This window comes from Homo sapiens, chromosome 19 (assembly GCF_000001405.40).
Source record: "Homo sapiens chromosome 19, GRCh38.p14 Primary Assembly".
NCBI classification, from domain to species: Eukaryota; Metazoa; Chordata; class Mammalia; order Primates; family Hominidae; genus Homo; species Homo sapiens.
Window position 1 is genome coordinate 41,425,107 of NC_000019.10, and position 16,792 is coordinate 41,441,898.

Sequence of the window (16,792 nt, forward strand, 5' to 3'; positions counted from 1 at the left end):
CCCGGAAGCTTGCGCAAGCTGGAAGGTTAACTTCAGCAGACAGGATGGGGGTGGGGGGGTCCTCCAGAGATGGTCTCCTGCTCTCTCACAGAATGGGAGAAGCCTGCTGTCCAGCAGAGTGATGGGGAGCCCAGTGGAGCTAGCCCTGCCCAGCAGGGGTGCAGGGGAGCGTCCAGGATGAAGGTCAGGGTGTGGCCAAGCCCTGCTCCCCACCACTCCAGGGCCCCACAGATGCAAAAACAACCCCAGGCCTCAGAGTGGGGAGTGCATGTTTTTCAAAAACAAAAAGTAGGCAAAAACAGTCCACCACCCCATCTTTCCTGCCCAGGCCCCTGGCTGGGGGAGGCCAAGGAGTGGCTTAAGTTGTCCAGCTTCTGGGCCCTCCTCCCTCCCATCAAGACCTGGAAGGAGGGGCTGAGCCAGGGGCCGGCCCCAGAGGCCCAGGCCAGGTCAGCACCTCCGCCCTCCCCAATGAGAGTCAGCACTGGAGCCTTGGGTCTTGCAGTTGTTTCCAGAGCCGAATGCTGGCCTGGGGGCCCAGGGGCCGTACCAGCAGCAGGTTGCGGAAAGCACAGTGGTCCGCAGTGCGGTCTGCTGGCCAGGCTGTGAGGAAGCCTGGGTGGGCCTGGGGCACCAGGCCCAGGGCTCGGATGCAAAGGCCAGTGTAGACGTCCTCAAAGGGGAAGGGTGCCACACGGGCTGCCGCCCGCAGCAGCCAGGGTGCCAGGCGCCCGGCAATGACGTAGCCACCCCCGCTTGCATAGGCTGGGTAGCCACCTTCGAAGAAGGACTCGGGCACATAGAAGGGTCCTCCTGGCTTCCGGAGAGGCATGGCCTGGGTAAAGACCTCACCCAGGTAGAGGCTTCGGGCCGAGGCAGGTGGCAGGGCCCGCAGGTGAGCCAGCAGGGCAGGGGTGTGTACAAAGGCATCGTCCTGAGCTCGCAAGACAAAACTCACGGTGGGGCAGTGGCGGCCCAGCCAGGCCAGCAGCAGCAGGTCTTTGAGCGTCTGGTTGAATGGGACGTCGAGGAAGTCCCAGAGCAGCAGGTCACTGTAGCGACGGCTCTCCCAGGCCACTAGTGAGTCTAGGTCAGGCCCCGCCTCACCCACCGGAGACCCTAGCAGGAAGAGCAGCCGGATCCCTGGAGCTGGACTGCCCCACGTCTCTCTCACGGCCTGTCGTTCTGCAAAGCGCCCTGGTTCTGACTTGACGGCCAACAGCAGGTAGGGGACATCAGTATCTGAGCAGCTGGAGACTTGGCTGCCACCACCTCCAGGCAGCCACTGTGGGAAGCTCCGGCAGGCTGCTGACAGCAAGAAGCGGCGGAGGTCCTTGGGGTAGGAGGCGAAGTCAGGGATCTCGGTGGCGGCGGCGGCCCCCCAAGCCTGGCAGCCCCCCGTTTCAGTGCTGTCCCCACTGGGCAGGGACCCCAGCCGCCACTGCTGCTGGTTCCAGTAAGCAAAGGGCAGCGGGATAGTCTGGCCCAGGCGGGTGGAGAGGTTGGCAGGTAGGGTGGGCTCAGGGTTGGCTGGCGTGGGGCTTGGCGGGGTGCCCCGAGGGCTGGGGTAGGCCTTGCTGAGCCGGGACTCGGATGTCCACTCGATGTACACTTTGAGGCCCAGGAGTGTGAGCAGTGCTGACAGGCAGAGAAGGCACTTGGGGCAGCGCATGACCCGGCCCAGGGAAGGGGCGGCCGCGGGAGCTACAAGGGAGCCACAGGGGAGCCACGGAGGCCATTGGGGTGTGGGGATGGGCCTCCAGAGAGGGCCCAGCCAGGCCCCAGGCAGACAGCTTCACAATCTCCCATAGTCCCCGCCAACCCCCATAACAGATTCTCTCGGTCCCAGATCCTAAACAGCTCCCCTGACCCAGGGACCTCGTTGGTCCTTATTCCTAGACCTAGGAGTCCCCCATTCCAATCCCGTACCAGCACCCTGTTCTTCCCACTCCGTCCAAATGCTTCCACCTTCCTAAAAGCCCAAGGGTCTACCTCTTCCCTGTCTCCATCCAGGACAAGGGACCTTGCCGTCTATCTCCTCCCTCTCCCTCCATTTATTGCCCTCACCAGGAAATCAGGAGCGGGATTCCTAGCTCCCTGGGGTTAGAAACCCAGCCTGCCTCCCGCAACACCCCAACCCCAGGGACTGGGGAACCAGGGATCCCATGCTTTTTTACCTCTGGGTCTGGCTCCCGCCAGCTCCGGGTGCCGGCCTCAGGTCAGGCCTCCCTCAGCTCCCTCTGATCTGCCTGCCCCAGCCCCTGTGTTGTCGACCGGCGGGGCCCAGCCCTGCCCAGCCAGTCCAGAGGGGCGGGGAGGGGAGTGGAGCGGGAGCAGGGAGGGCCCCAGGGGCCGGGGCGGGGCTGAGGCAGGAGAGAGGGAGGGAGGGAGGGAGGGAGGAGGGCAGGAGGCCGACCTGAGAGATGGGGCTCTGGCGTGTTAGGGCTGGTTTCTGGTGAGACAGCTGGGAAGGGTGCAGGGGGCAGCCACAGAAACAAGACGGGGGCTTTGTGAGGCCTGGGAGGGGAGAACCAGGGCCAGGGGGTGCCAGGGAGGGTGGGGCTGAAGGCTGGGCCTGGGCTGGGGAGTGTTAGAGTGACCAGGGCGAGGCAGGGTCCCACTGAGGCAGAGATGGGGAGGCTGAGAGGCTGGCGCCCGGCTGCACCCATGGCCAGGAGGCGGCAGTGAATGTGCTGAGTGGGAAGGGATCGGCGGGCCTGCCAGAGGGATGTTTGTTGTTGCTGCCCAGTCAGGGTGAGGTGGGGGGAACGGGGCTGGTGAGGAGAAGGAGAGACAGAGACATTGTGGAGAGGGAAGAGACGGCCAGGGAGCAGAGAGAGGAGAACTGGGGTGAGACAGGCGATGGAGAGAGCTGAGGGGGAGAGAGAGAGAAGACGGGCAAGTGGGAAGGTGGCCAGGAGGGAGAGGGGGAGGGAAATGGAGATGGCGAGAAAGATAAGGGGTTGCGGAAGCCCTGTGGGGTGCTCATGGGGAAAGAGAGGTTGAGAGAGGCAGGTGGAGGGCAGAGGGGAGGGACTCAGGCTTCCGAGCCAGACCCAGGCAGAGGCGGAGAGGGAGCCAAGGGGAAGAACAGGAGAGGAAAAGACTGGAGCTTCAAGGGCAATAGAGGGTGACGGGGTGGGGCCCACGGGGAACCCCGGGAGCTAAGCTGATCCCCTGTACCTCCTCCATCCCTCTCGGCACCCGGGCTGCCTGCCCAGCAGCGTGGGAATCTGTTCCTACCTTACCCCCAACCTCCGGCCTGGAGCCAGCCTCACCCCGGGCCCCTCCCCTCCCCCAGCGGCACTGTGACTCCAGGAACACTCACATCCAGCCCCTTGGGGCAGGAGGGGGTGTCTGCCTGTGTTTGCATCCCTGCCCTCCAGGGGCCCCTGCTGTTGGGACTGCATCAGCTCTCTGAAGACCTCCCAAGACATGGGGTAAGACTAAGGGGCTCCCACTAAGCCTGGGCTGACCCCTTCACTCCACCCTGGTTTGGGGCAGGCCTGTCCCCATCATGGCAGGAACACAGTCTGTCAGCAGCAGCAGTTGATGATCTGTCCAGCCCTGATTTCCTCCCCCAAAGTTTGAATAATGGAGCCTGTGGGAACAGCTGGAGGAAGAGAGTGGGGAGGAAGTGGTGAATATTAATGGAATAATAGTTGGAGTGGGAAATGACAGCTAGGGGCTGGGGGCAGGGGCCCGAGCACCTCCTGAGGGAGTCTGCAAGCCCACTCCACTCTGGGGCTGGGGGAGAGGGACTCCAGGCCCCCTGAGCTCATCTAGCTTCTGGGGGCAGGGGGTGCTGCTCCTCCTGGAAGCATTAGGAAGCTTCACAAGGTGCCTTTCTTTTTGCCTTTGCCATGTGCCTCAGTCCGGGTCCAATCAGGAGAGAGAAACCACACAGGAATGGGAATAGGGAAAGTTCAATATACAGAATGATTAACTCTCATGGGATTGGCCACTAAGGGGTGCCTTCTTGGGGAACATGGTTGGAGGGTGGACATGCTGGTGGAACACGATCATTCCAATCCAACACTTCTGTCTCCCCAAGCCTTGGGACTCCCCTCACCCATCTTATGCTAGGGCAGTTCTGGTCTCTCTGCCTCATTAACTTTAGGCCACTGTTGGATCCAAGTTCCGGTTAGGCACCCAAGCAAGCTATTAGAACTACGTCCAGCTGCACAAGGTAACCCATGAAATCCAGAAGCTCTAGAAAGCGCACTCATGCCAGTAAATTTGGCCTGAGCTAGTGTTACATCCACCCTCATTGGTGTAACATCCTTAAAATCCCCTTCTGCACACATTCCCCAAGTTTCTGACTCTGTATATTTGCGAAGCCTTGTCATTCTTATAGTGTAAAAGCTGCTCCCGCCTAGGTCCTAGCTGGCACCTGTTCACCTGGAGCAAGCTGATTTCACCCTAGGTATTTATGGGTCTAGAGGCAGCAAGGGGCGCTGTGGTGAGTCTTAAGAAGAATGGGGTGTATCTGTTATTTCTGTATAAGAGCTGGCCATAAGAAAAAAAAAACTGTGGTGGGACAGTGGCTCACCCCTGTAATCCCAATACTCTGGGAGGCCAAGAGGGAAGGATCACTTTCCAGGAGTTCAAGACCAGCCTGGGCAACATAGTGAGATCTTACCGCTAATCAAAAAAAAAAAAAAAAAAAAAAGGACGACCACTTTCAAGGTGTCTGCCCCTGGTGAGGTCATCACAAGGTTTTTTTTTTGAGACGGAGTCTCACTCTGTCACCCAGGTTGGAGTGCAGTGGCATGATCTCCGCTCACTGCAAGCCTCACCTCCCAGGTTCACGCCATTCTCCTGCCTCAGCCTCTCAAGTAGCTGGGACTACAGACGCCCGCCACCATGCCCGGCTAATGTTTTTGTATTTTTAGTAGAGACAGGGTTTCACTATTTCTACTAAAGTAGAGTACTTAGGCAGGATGGTCTTCATCTCCTGACCTTGTGATCCACCCGCCTCGGCCTCCCAAAGTGCTGGGATTACAGGCATGAGGCACTGCACCCGGCCTCTGTTTTTTTTTTTGAGATGGAGTCTTGCACTGTCGCCAAGGCTGGTGTGCAGTGGTGCAATCTCGGCTCACTGCAACCTCTCCGCCTCCTGGGTTCAAGAGATCCTCCTACTCGGGAGGGTTCAGCCTTCCGAGTAACTAGGATTACAGGTGCTCGCCACCACGCCTGGCTAATTTTTTGCATTTTTAGTAGAGATGGGGTTTTACTATGTTGGCCAGGCTGGTTTTGAACTCCTGACCTCATGATCCGCCTGCCTTGGCCTCCCAAAGTGCTGGGATTACAGGCGTGAGCCACCGTGCCTGGCCACATCACAAGGTTTCTAAGCACAGGAAGGCTGGTAGGTTCCTCAGATGCTGATAAGTCACTCGCTTGGAGTGACTTGGGGGTTCAAGATCGCCTGTTTACTCTGGGTCCAATTAGATGACCCCATTCCAAAGAAGTAAAAACTTTTGGGCCGGGCATGGTGGCTCACACCTGTAATCCCAGCACTTTGGGAGGCTGAGGTGGGTGGATCACCTGAGGCCAGGAGTTTGAGACCAGCATGGCCAACATGGCAAAACCCTGTCTCTACTAAAAACACAAAAATTCGCCTGGCGTGGTGGTACACGCCTGTAATCCCAGCTACTCGGTAAGCTAAGGCAGGAAAATCGCTTGAACCCGGGAGGTGGAGGTTGCAGTGAGCCGAGAGATCACACTACTGCACTCCAGCCTGGGTGACATAGCAAGACTGTCTCAAAAACAAACAAACAAAAAATCTGGGGGCTGTCATGAAAGCTGTCTAGTTCTCAGACTGTGACTTGAGCTGAGTTAGCGGACCCAAGCTTGTCACTGTCTGTGGGCACTCAAGGGCACTCTGGAGAATCCATCCAATACCCTGGTCTTCAGAATTGGCACAACTAGCACAGCTGTTGAGCACAGCAGCCACAGGGGGTCCCAAGGCACGTGCTTCAGTTGGTCCCTCATCTCCGTCAACCACAGGCACTTGTGGGATTATGATGCCATTGCATGCCATGGGCCTCTGGCATCCTGTTTCCCATCAGCAAGAGCTCAGCGCGGCGCCCAAGCCCAAAGGCACAACCAAACCAATCCTGGAATCCTATCTTAAGAGTCATCTCCTGGGACACTCCAGGTATCAACTCTATATCCATCAGGATGCAGTCAGGAGAGAAAAACCACAGAGTAACTTGAACAGGGAAAGTTTAATATAGAGAATTACTGGCTTTAACAGTGAACTGGAATAATGAGGGCTTCACTGGTAAAATGCTTCTGAATTGACTGGAAATCCATTTGGGGTGCTGGGGAACGTTATTCCCAGAGAGGTGCCTCAGTGGAGGCGCTGTGTCTCCTACGCAACTTCTGAGGGCTGGAGGGTGCCAAGGGCAGCTGCTGACCGCCTGGTGCTTCAGGAGCTGGGTGCTGGGGAAGCCACATGCACTGCGGCGTCCAGAGGCAGAAGCACAACCAACAAGAACCACGAAGGAGGCGCCTTTCCTCCTATAATGCCTGTTTGGTGCCCTCTACTGACAAAGCTTATCCCCTTTCAAAAAACAGCCAACTGAAAAAGCTGAATTTGGAACATAAAGTCAATAAATCCATAACCAGCAATACTATGGGGCCTGGGGTGCGCTGGCCTTTAGTGAGTGGAGTGGGGCGAAGGATGCTGCATGTCCTGCAGTGGGCACAGCGGCCCTGCACGGGGGAGAACCATCCCTGTAAAGTGTCAGTAGTAGCCCCTGTGTCAGTCAGGGTCCCTGCAAGAAATGGCAGTGCACTCACATAAGGACAGTTTGAGAAGAGTCTCCTGACAAGGTGAGTGTGGCTCTCTGCGGCTACTAACAGCCTGAGCCTTTACCTCCCCAGGCCTGAACAGGGGCATGGAAAGGGCTGCCTGACAGGGTGACAGGAGCTGTGACCTTTAGCCAAGGGCAGCCAGGAATAAATACTGGGAACTCACGCTCTCTCCTGTGATTGGCCAGCACCACTCCCCCACCCTGACGTTGAGTGAAGACAAATGGAAGCCAGAAGTGTGGTGAGCTACCAGACATTCCATGCAGCCCGCTGAGAAGCCACGTGAGTGGGGACAGGGCTAAAGGCTAGGCAGGGACAGGGCTGGCTGTGTCCCGAGGCTGCTCCTCCGGCCCTGACTTCAGGCCCTCAGCCCAGTCGACTCCCACAACCTCGCAATTGGGCAGCATCTCCTCCACCAATATCTGAGTGAGGCCAGGGTTGGACACGGCAGGGAGGTCCGAGATGTCCAGCCTGCGGAGGTTCCTGAAAAGGGGTGAGAAGGACAGGAAGCCAGTGTAAGGACAGCATGTGTGTGTGTGTAGGGAGGTACAGGACAGCGTGTGCGTGTGTGTGTGTGTATAGGCAGGTAAGCCAGTGTAAGGACAGCGTGTGTGTGTATAGGGAGGTACAGGACAGTGTGTGCGTGTGTGTGTGTGTGTGTGTATAGGGAGGTAAGCCAGTGTAAGGACAGCATGTGTGTGTGTGTGTGTAGGGAGGTACAGGACAGCGTGTGTGTGTGTGTGTGTGTGTGTATAGGGAGATAAGCCAGTATAAGGACAGCGTGTGTGTGTGTGTGTGTGTGTGTAGGGAGGTACAGACAGCGTGTGCGTGTGTGTAGGGAGGTACAGGACAGCGTGCGTGTGTGTGTGTGTGTGTGTGTGTGTGTGTGTGTAGGGAGGTACTGGCCCCAAATTTCAACCTTACAGGACAGTGTGTGTGCGTGCGTGTGTGTGTGTGCGTGCGTGCATGCGTGCATGTGTGTGTGTATAGGGAGGTACTGGCCCCAAATTTCAACCTTAGCTTCCTAAAATAAAATCTTTATAGCTGTCCAGGCACATGAAGCCCACTGTGTTAATTGCAAATATGCAACTCCAGCTCCTGCTGTTCTGCAACAGCGTCGATATCACACAGTTTTGACTAAAACAAAAAGGAAGAAAACCAGGAGTCATTTAATTCTTCCAGAGACTCACTGTGACTGCTCATCTACCATAAATACTCTAGGTTTGTGATGGATGCAGGGGGATATGAGAACTGCCTAACATTGCCCCTCCCCACTTCCTCTCCTGCATCTGGGTTAGGTGGGAGAGGTGCCTGGGCATGTGGCCCAGCCTGAGCTGAGGTCTCACTGGAGGTGGTGGAGGCAGGCGAGGCCCCGTTCGGAGATGCGGGGGCAACCGGCCAGCGAGAGCTCCTGCAACGAGTCGGCCAGTGGGTAGAGGCGGCTGAGACACCAGTCGTCCACGTGGCAGCAGCGCTGCAGCGACAAGGACTGGAGCTCCTTCAGGCGGACTGCGGTGGGGAGAGGGTGGGATGGCACCAGGAGCCTTTCTGGAGCCCATCACCAAAGGGAAAACATAGAGGCCTGTCCCATCTCCACCCCACCGCACTCACGGAGGTTATCCAGGCCCTCGTAGTTGATGTCACAGTCACCGGCATCCACAGCTTCGACAGGCACTTCACAGAAATTCCAGAACTCCTGAGAGAAATGGCCATACTTATCTGGCCTGATCCACTCCTTGTCTCGAAACCTGGAAACGGGAAAGGGAGTGTCAGCAGGGCACCTGAACCTGCCCCAGGCCTCCAGCCTCTTCAGAACCTTCCCCAGCCCTATATAATATGTATAGGTCACCCTTGACATAACTAATTCCATCTTAGAAAAAGACTCCATCTGGCTGTGCGCAGTGGCTCACGCCTGTAATCCCAGCACTTTGGGAGGCTGAGGCAGGAGAATCACTTGAGTTCAGGAGTTTGAGACCAGCCTGGGCAACATAGTGAGACCTCGTCCCTATGAAAAAATACAAAAATTGGCCAGGTGCGGTGGCTCACGCCTGTAATCCCAGCACTTTGGGAGCCGAGGTGGGCGGACTACGAGGTCAGGAGATCGAAACCATCCTGGCTAATACACGGTGAAACCCCATCTCTACTAAAAATACAAAAAAATTAGCTGAGCATGGTGGCAGGCGCCTGTACTCCCAGCTTCTTGGGAGGCTGAGGCAGGAGAATTGTTTGAACCTGGGAGGCGGAGCTTGCAGTGAGCCGAGATCGTGCCACTGCACTCCAGCCTGGGTGACAGAGCGAGACTCCATCTCAAAAAAAAAACAAAAAAACAAAAATTAGCTGGGCTTGGTGGCTTGCACCTGTGGTCTCAGCTACTTGGGAGGCTGAGGTGGGAGGATAGCTTGAACCCAGGAGGTCGAGGCTGTAGTGAGTTGTGATCATGCCACTGTGCTCCAGCCTGGGAGACCCTATCTCAAAAAAAAAAAAAAAAAAAAAGGAATGTTTTGCCAATTTTACATACCTAGAAACTGAGGGTCAGCGAGATTACAGATAACATAAGAGCAAAGAGGTAAAATGCAAGAATCCTTGTAGATGGGCAGAAGTTAAGGGACATTTTCAAACATGTATACTGTTTCTAAGGAAGTTGCCAGAGGAAGTGCTCAAACCAGATGGAGGGGTAGATGAAGTCTATGTGAACTGTCTTTTCCAAAAAAAGAAAAAAAGCAAAGGAAAGAGAAAGGGAAGGAGAAAGGAGGCGGGGAAGAAGGAAAGAAAGAAAAACATTATTGAGCACAGGCCAGGCGCCACCAGTGGCTCACGCCTGTAATCCCCAGCACTTTGGGAGGCCGAGGTGGGTGGATCACTTGAGGTCAGGGGTTGGAGACCAGCCTGGCCAACATGGTAAAACCCTGTCTCTACCAAAAATAAAAAAAATTAGCCGGGCGTGGTAGTGTGCACCTATAATCCCAGGTACTTGGGAGGCTGAGGCAGGAGAATTGCTTGAACCCAGGAGATGGAGGTTGCAGTGAGCCGAGATTGTGCCACTGCACTCTAGCCTGGGCGACAAGAGCAAGACTCTTGTCTCAAAAAAAAAAAAAAATTATTGAGCACATATGCATTGCTAGGCTTCTTACATTGCAAAATCACAGTTAATCTCTCACTCCCCCTGACAGGGTCCCACTGGGTAGCTGGGATTACAGGCATGCACCACCATGCCTGGGTAATTTTGTATTTTGGTAGAGACGAGGTTTCACTATGTTGCCGAGGCTGGTCTTGAACTCCTGGGCTCAAGTGCTGTACCTGCCTTGGCCTCTCAAAGTGCAAAGGCATGAGCTACCACGCCCAGCCATTATTATTATTATTTTGAGACAGAGTCTTGCTCTGTCACCCAGGCTGGAGTGCAGTGGCGTGATCTTGGCTCATTGCAACCTCTGCATCCCGGCTTCTAAGGGATTCTCCTGCCTCAGCCTCCTAAGTAGCTGGCATTACAGGCGTGCGCCACCATGCCAAGCTAATTTTGTATTTTTAGTGGAGACAGGGTTTCACCACGTTGGCTAGGCTGGTCTCGAACTCCTGACCTCAGATGATCCACCAGCCTCGGCCTCCCAAAGTGCTGCGATTACAGGTGTGAGCCACCGCGCCCGGCCTATTATTATTTTTTGTGATGAGGTCTCCCTGTGTTGCCCAGGCTAGAGTTCAGTGGTGTGACTACAGCTCACTGTAGCCTCCTGGACTGAAGCGATTCTCCCGCCTTAGCCTCCTGAGTGGCTGGGACCACAGGCATGTGCCACCATACCTGGCTAATTTAAAACATTTTTTGTAGAGACAGGGTCTCACAAAGCTGCTGAGGCTGTTCTCAAACTCCTGGCCTCCAGTGACCTTCCTGTCTCGGCCTCCCAAAGTGCTGGGATTACAGAATGAGCCAGTGTGCCCAGCTCCGTTCAGTCTTTTTTTTTTTTTTTGACACTTTTGAGATGGAGTCTTGCCCTGTCCCCCAGGCTGGAGTGCAGTGGTGCAATCTCAGCTCACTGCAACCTCCACCTCCCGGGTTCATGCGATTCTCCTGCCTCAGCCTCCCCAGTAGCTGGGATTACAGGCGCCTGCCACCACGCCCAGCTAAGTTTTGTATTTTTAGTAGAGACAGGGTTTCGCCATTTTGGCCAAGCTGCTCTCGAACTCCTGACCTCAGGTGATCCGCCCGCCTTGGCCTCCCAAAGCATTGGGATTACAGGCGTGAGCCACCGTGCCCGGCCCCTGTTCACTCTTTATAGCAAACCTTGTGGGTTAGAAATGACCACCATCCCATTTTACACGTGACAAAACTGAAGCTCAGGAACAAGTCCCAAGCCACACAGCCAGGAGGCGGCAGAGACCAGGGGACTCTGAAGCCTGTGTGACTGCAGAACCTGGATGTTAGAGAGATACCCCACCACCTGCCCCAGCCCGTTCTAACACCTTAGCGGTCATACTTGACTGCGCCTCCCTGCTTCAGGATGAAAAAGGCACCTGCGCCGTATGGACCATGTTGCTTCTCCAGCCAGGTGTAAGATCTGCAGAGAAAATGGTAGCTAAGGGTGAGGCCTGGGGAGCACCACAGCCCTCACGATGCCCCAGTGCTGTTAAGAGGGGCAGAGTCCAGAGAACCAGGCACACAGACAGATTCAGTCAGGCTGAAAATATTTATTGCCCACCTCCTAAGTGCTGGGCACTGGGGGCAAAGTGGTGACCAAGGCAGATAACATCCCTGCCCAGTCTGGAGATTACTGCAGTAATCCAAGCTATTATACAGGGAGAAACAGATAACAACCCAGGAAATAACAGCAAACTGCAGAGAATGTCAATTCCATGACCAAACAAAGCAGAGAGGCTGACTGTGAGGGCTAGGGAGCAGAGGAGTGGGGATGGTGGAGGCTAACTGAGTTTGGGTGTTAATTGGAGGAGGTGACATTTGAGCAGGGATTTGAGTGGTGAGAAGGAACAGAGTATAAAGGCTCAGAGACTTGAATTAGGATGGTTGAATAAATAAGAAATAGGGATGTCATGCTGAAGGGGCCAGTGGAGTCCTGATAGGGGGTCTCAAAGCTCAGTAGGAGCTATGTTTTAGGCCTTGGAGATTGGCTCTTATTTGAAGGTTTTGAGCTGGTGATGATAAGATTCCTTCAGCTGCTTTGTAGATTATAAAAAACTATGGGACAGGCCAGGTGTGGTGGCTCACGCCTGTAATCCCAGCACTTTGGAAGGCCGAGGCAGGTGGATCATCTGAGGTCAGGATTTCGAGACCAGCCTGGCCAACATGGTGAAACCCCATCTCTACTAAAAATAGAAAAATTAGGTGTGGTGGCGCCTGCCTGTAATCTCACCTACTTGGGAGGCTGAGGCGGGAGAATCGCTTGAACCCAGGAGGTGGAGATTGCAATGAGCCATGATCACACCACTGTACTCCAGCATGTGCGACAGAGTGAGACTCTGTCTCAAACAAAACAAAACAAATTTTGGCGGGGTGTGGTGGCTCATGCCTGTAATCCCAGCACTCTGGGAGACCGAGGCAGGCGGATCACCTGAGGTCAGGAGTTCGAGAGCAGCCTCGCTAACATGGTGAAAACCCATCTCTACTAAAAATACAAAAATTAGCTGGGCCTGGTGGCGGGCGCCTGTAATCCCAGCTACTTGGGAGGCGGAGGCAGGAGAATTGCTTGAACCTGGGAGGTGGAGGTTGCAGTGAGCTTAGATTGCGCCACTACACTCCAGGCTGGGAGACAGAGCAAGACTCCATCTCAGAAAAAAAAAAAAAAGAGTATGGGAACAAAAACCCAGTTAGCTTATTGAGTGATTCAACTATAAGGGATCAGGCTACGAATGGTGAAGGCAGTGAGAACTGGTCAAATCTGAGATATTCTAGTATTTTATTGATGGTCTGGATGTGGAGGGCAGGGAAGCAAAGAGAGGAATTAGGGATGACTCCTTAGAATTTGGCCTGAACAACTGGGTGGGCAGCACCAGTGTTTACTGGGATGGGAAGGCTTGGGAGTGAGCAGATGTTTTTAGGGGAGAAATCAGGGTTTGGCTTTAGCCATGTTAGGTTTGAGATGCCAGTTAGACTCTGAGTGGAGCTGGTGGGTGGCAAACTGCCTATGTGAGCTGGAGTCCTTGAGAAGGGTACAGCCTGGAGATGGAGCTGCAAGAGACATCAAGGCTGGCACTGGAAGCCACAGTGCTGCCTGGGAATGGCAAGGACAGGACCTGGGCTCTGGTGGGCCAGGGTCTCCACAGGGTCTTGCAGACCAGGGATTCTCACCGATTTTTCTCATGCACCTTGTACATCTCCCTTTGGAGCAAGTAATCCCTCAGAGCCTCCACATCGTAGAAATAGTTGGTCAGGAACTGGAGTATTGTCCTTTTCTTCTTCTGATTGCCCTCTGGGGCCACTGCCGCACCCAGGCGATGGATGCCCCTGATACGCCCATTCCACATGGGGGCGACCAGGCGCAGGGACTGGGGAGGGGGAGAGGAAAGGAGCTGAGCCTGGAGCCTCCTGGGAGACACAGAGCTGGATCCCCCAGTTCTTGCTCCATGAACCTCAATCCCTCTGCTTCCCAACTCACCCTAAGTTCTTCCTTCAAAACTTCAAAACTGTCTTTGAGATTCCAAAAATTTCCCCATGTTTTTTCCAAGTTCCTCCTCCCCTTAGTGAACCCTAAATTTTCTCGACTAGCCATATATTGTTGATTTTCCTAAATTCTTCCTCTAACTTTCCCCCAAACCCTTATCACTCAAAACCTGCATTATTTGACCTCTTAATTTTCCACAGATTTGCCCCTTAATTACCCAATTCTTCTGCTGGGGTCTTCCCAAATGACTTCTTTCTTTCCCCAGAATATAATCTTAAAAACTTATCTCCAAACCTCAAGGAGAGGGTGCTCTGAGCAATCCCTAAAACCAACCAAGCTTGTCCAACCCGCCGCCTGCATGCAGCCCAACACAAACATGCAAACTTTCTTAAAACATTAGGAGGATATTTTTGTGATTTTTTTTTTTTTTTTTTTGGCTCATCAGTTATGGTTAGTGTATTTTATGTGTGGCCCAAGACAATTCTTCTTCTTCGAACAGCGTGGCCCAGGGAAGCCAAAAGATTGGACACCCCTGAACCGAGAAGGGTATAAAAAGCATGAGCTTTGAAGAGGAGAGTAAGAAAGTCGAGGGGTGTGGCCAATGGGAAGAAGCCCCCAAACTCTTCAATTTTGCTTTCAAGGTCTCCTCTTAATCTACCCCAATTTCTCTTTGCTTTAACCAAATTCTTTTTTTTTTTCAAATTATCTCGATAATTTTACCCAAACCCTTATTTTCCTCAAAAGTTTAAAGCTGCCAACCTCTTTAATTTTCCCTAAATTCATTCCTTGATTTTAAATCCTCTGAAAGAATATCTCAAATTCTCCTCTTAATTTCACCCAGATCATGCCCTTAGAACCTCCAAATTGACCTCTTGGTTCCCCCACCCATCATGCTTTTGAGTTTTCTGTAAAAATTCGTCAATCTCCCACTAACTTTCCTTACATTCATCCTTCGGTCTTCTAAGACCAAATCCCACATCCTCGAACAATCCCTTCCAAGCTCTCTTATCCTACAGGCCCCACCCTTGCCTGTCCATTAGCTCCTTGTGTCATCCCTCCCTCTGATTGGTTAGTCGCGTCGCTCTTCGGCAGCCACTCCCTCATCCCCATTGGATACTCTCAGCCAAGTCCCTGCCTCCTCTCGCTCGCTAAAGCGTCTCCTCCGCCTGCGACCCTCACAGATCCTTCCTGGCCCCCACTAGCCACAGGTTTGCACTCCCAGTACGGGGCTTGCCAGGCTTAGCCTGCTGCCTCACGGCTTTCTGCTCTCGTGGCCGCCAACAGAGGCCCTGAATGCGGAGGCTGTAGAGCGGACTTCAAATTTGGGGCTCTAGGAACTCCGGTCACTTACCGCCCAGGGAGCCGCCATCTTGCTAAGGTTTCGTAACCGGAAGGGGCCGGTCTTATCCCACGCTCCTGGTTCAGCGCGAACTTATTCTCCTGTGGCCACGCCCCGCGTTTTCTAACCGTCCTCTTAAAGGTGCACGCACTTTTTACTCTTAAAGGGTTTAGGGATTGCTCACAGCGCCCTCTCCCTGAGCTTCAAAACGAGACACAGGTCGGGCTCACGCACCTGTGAACCCAGCACTTTGTGGAGGCCGAGGCGAAAGCATCGCTTGAAGCCAGGAGTTCGAGACCAGCCTGGGCAACATAGGGGAGCCTTTATCTCCACAAAGAAATAGGGCAACCTTATATCCACAAAAAATAAAATGTTAGCCGGGCGTGGTGGTGCACGCCTGTGGTCCCAGCTACTCACGAGGCTGAGGCGGGGGGATCACTTGAGCCGGGGAGGTCGAAGTTGCAGTGAGCTGTGATTGCGCCACTGCACTCCAGCCTGGGTGACAGAGCGAGACGCTGTCTCTTAAAACAAAAAATTGAAAAACAAAACAAACCCCAGGACTCCACAATCTTTCCCTAGGAGAAGATGGGGTGTTCTTCCCGGCAGAGTACCTTTCTTTCCTGACTGCAATTGCAGTCTCCCCAAGCTTTCTTATTCTTCCAGCTTCCACTCACTACCTCCTAAAAACAGGGAATGAGGGGGCTGAAAAGCTGACCACGTCATTTTTAAAAATTAGGGTCAGGTAAGAGAGTGGGTGAAGAGGTTAGATGTCAAGGTTAGAGACTGAGGTGAGATCTCAAGACCAGTTTGGAGTTGAAAGCTAGATCGCAGCATGAAGAGCCATTGTGAAGTCTTGTGGATAGAATTATTCATTCATTAGTTCCAAGAATATTTACTGAGCACCTACCACGTGATGGCAGGCACTGTTCTAGATGCCGAGGTTACCATGGTGAGCAGGACAGACCCAGTCCCTCTCTCAGGAAGTCAACATTCTGGGCTGGGAGAGGATGGATGTGGGAGAGGATGAATAAGAAACAAAGGAATCAGCAAGGCAATTTTGATGAGAAGCAGATAAAAAAAAGTGACTGGGTGTAGGGCCATCAGCAAAGGCCTCTCTGAAGAGGTGACATTGAAGTAGAAGTGAATGATAAGGAAAGAGCCATTCAAAGATCTAGGGGAAAAGCGCTGCAGGGAGAGGTAGCCTCTAGAGCAGAGAGGCCTTGAGGTGGGAACCAGCTTGCAGACAGAGATAGGAGACTGGGTTGAGAGGTGGGCAGGGGCTGACGGTGCAGGCCTGGTAGGGTTTTATTCTATTCACAGTGGGAAGAAGGGAGTGTCAAAATCGGATTTACATTTTGTAAAGATTATTTCTGCCAGGTGGAGAATGTACCTTAGAGCAGCGGTCCCTAACCGTTTTGTTACCAGGGACTGGTTTCGTGGAGGACAATTTTTCCATAGACTGGGGGTCGGGGGTGGGGTGGGGATGGTTTTGGGATGAAACTGTTCCACCTGAGATCATCAGGCATTAGATTCTCATAAGGAGCAGGCAACCTAGATCCCCCGCACGCACAGTTCACAATAGGGTTTGCCTCCTATGAGAATCTAATGCCACTGCTGATGTGACAGGAGGCGGAGCTCAGGCGGTAATGCTCACTTACCCGCTGCTCATCTCTTGCTGTGCGGCCCAGTTCCTAGCAGGCGAGGGGCTGGTACTGGTCCTTGGCCCAGGGACTGGGGACCCTTGCCTTAGAGGGCAAGGGTGGATGCAGGGGACCAGTAAAAGAGGCTGCTGTAGCAGTCTAGGCAAGAGATGAATGGGGATGGGGCAGAGGGAATGGTGAGAAGTGCTCAAATCCTGGGCCTGTTTTGAAGGTTAAGCCAACAGATTGAGAAACTAAAAGCAGACGGGCGTGGCTGTGCACGTGAGGAAACTGGAAGGGCAGCAGGTTTAGGAAGGTGGGTGTGGCAGCTGAATAACGAACCCTCTCCCCATACCTGTGAATCCCTGGGCACTGTGACTATGTTACTT

At 53.9% G+C, this 16,792-nt stretch overlaps 2 protein-coding genes across 17 annotated transcripts, besides 4 other annotated features; both read right to left on the bottom strand.

The window, feature by feature from the left end:
- B3GNT8 (UDP-GlcNAc:betaGal beta-1,3-N-acetylglucosaminyltransferase 8) lies at window positions 253-3,624 on the bottom strand. Of its 2 annotated transcripts, NM_198540.2 has the most exons (3): window positions 3,490-3,624; window positions 2,178-2,464; window positions 253-1,704 (listed from the first exon to the last, which is right to left on the bottom strand). In NM_198540.2, exon 3 carries the CDS (start codon window positions 1,670-1,672, stop codon window positions 479-481), a length of 1,194 nt encoding a protein of 397 aa, NP_940942.1. In that variant the 5' UTR covers window positions 1,673-1,704; window positions 2,178-2,464; window positions 3,490-3,624; the 3' UTR covers window positions 253-478. The 2 variants fall into 2 exon arrangements, with proteins under 2 accessions (NP_940942.1, NP_001372577.1); NM_001385648.2 differs by lacking the exon at window positions 3,490-3,624 and having other exon boundaries at window positions 2,178-2,268.
- Window positions 2,309-2,418: a silencer, noted in NCBI's record as "silent region_10666". NCBI's record gives its function as "represses an Ori minimal core promoter by ATAC-STARR-seq in GM12878 lymphoblastoid cells {active_cell/tissue: GM12878}" and the evidence as "EXISTENCE:reporter gene assay evidence [ECO:0000049][PMID:35858748]".
- Window positions 2,439-2,588: a silencer, noted in NCBI's record as "silent region_10667". NCBI's record gives its function as "represses an Ori minimal core promoter by ATAC-STARR-seq in GM12878 lymphoblastoid cells {active_cell/tissue: GM12878}" and the evidence as "EXISTENCE:reporter gene assay evidence [ECO:0000049][PMID:35858748]".
- Window positions 5,975-7,880: an enhancer, noted in NCBI's record as "VISTA enhancer hs1948". NCBI's record gives its function as "enhancer in: heart[7/10]" and the evidence as "EXISTENCE:transgenic organism evidence [ECO:0001131][PMID:17130149]".
- On the bottom strand, window positions 6,212-14,806 carry DMAC2 (distal membrane arm assembly component 2). 15 transcript variants are annotated; one of them, NR_030765.2, is made up of 6 exons: window positions 14,776-14,806; window positions 13,129-13,308; window positions 11,286-11,366; window positions 8,431-8,567; window positions 8,166-8,328; window positions 6,212-7,302 (listed from the first exon to the last, which is right to left on the bottom strand). NR_030765.2 is itself a non-coding variant. In NM_018035.3 (6 exons), the coding sequence occupies exons 1-6, from the start codon at window positions 14,791-14,793 to the stop codon at window positions 7,125-7,127; spliced, it is 774 nt and encodes a 257-aa protein (NP_060505.2). In that variant the 5' UTR covers window positions 14,794-14,806; the 3' UTR covers window positions 6,212-7,124. The 15 variants fall into 15 exon arrangements, 11 of the variants coding, with proteins under 11 accessions (NP_060505.2, NP_001161339.1, NP_001161343.1 ...); NR_135477.2 differs by having other exon boundaries at window positions 11,272-11,366; NR_135478.2 differs by having other exon boundaries at window positions 11,272-11,366; window positions 13,112-13,308.
- Window positions 14,541-14,710: an enhancer, noted in NCBI's record as "active region_14682". NCBI's record gives its function as "activates an Ori minimal core promoter by ATAC-STARR-seq in GM12878 lymphoblastoid cells {active_cell/tissue: GM12878}" and the evidence as "EXISTENCE:reporter gene assay evidence [ECO:0000049][PMID:35858748]".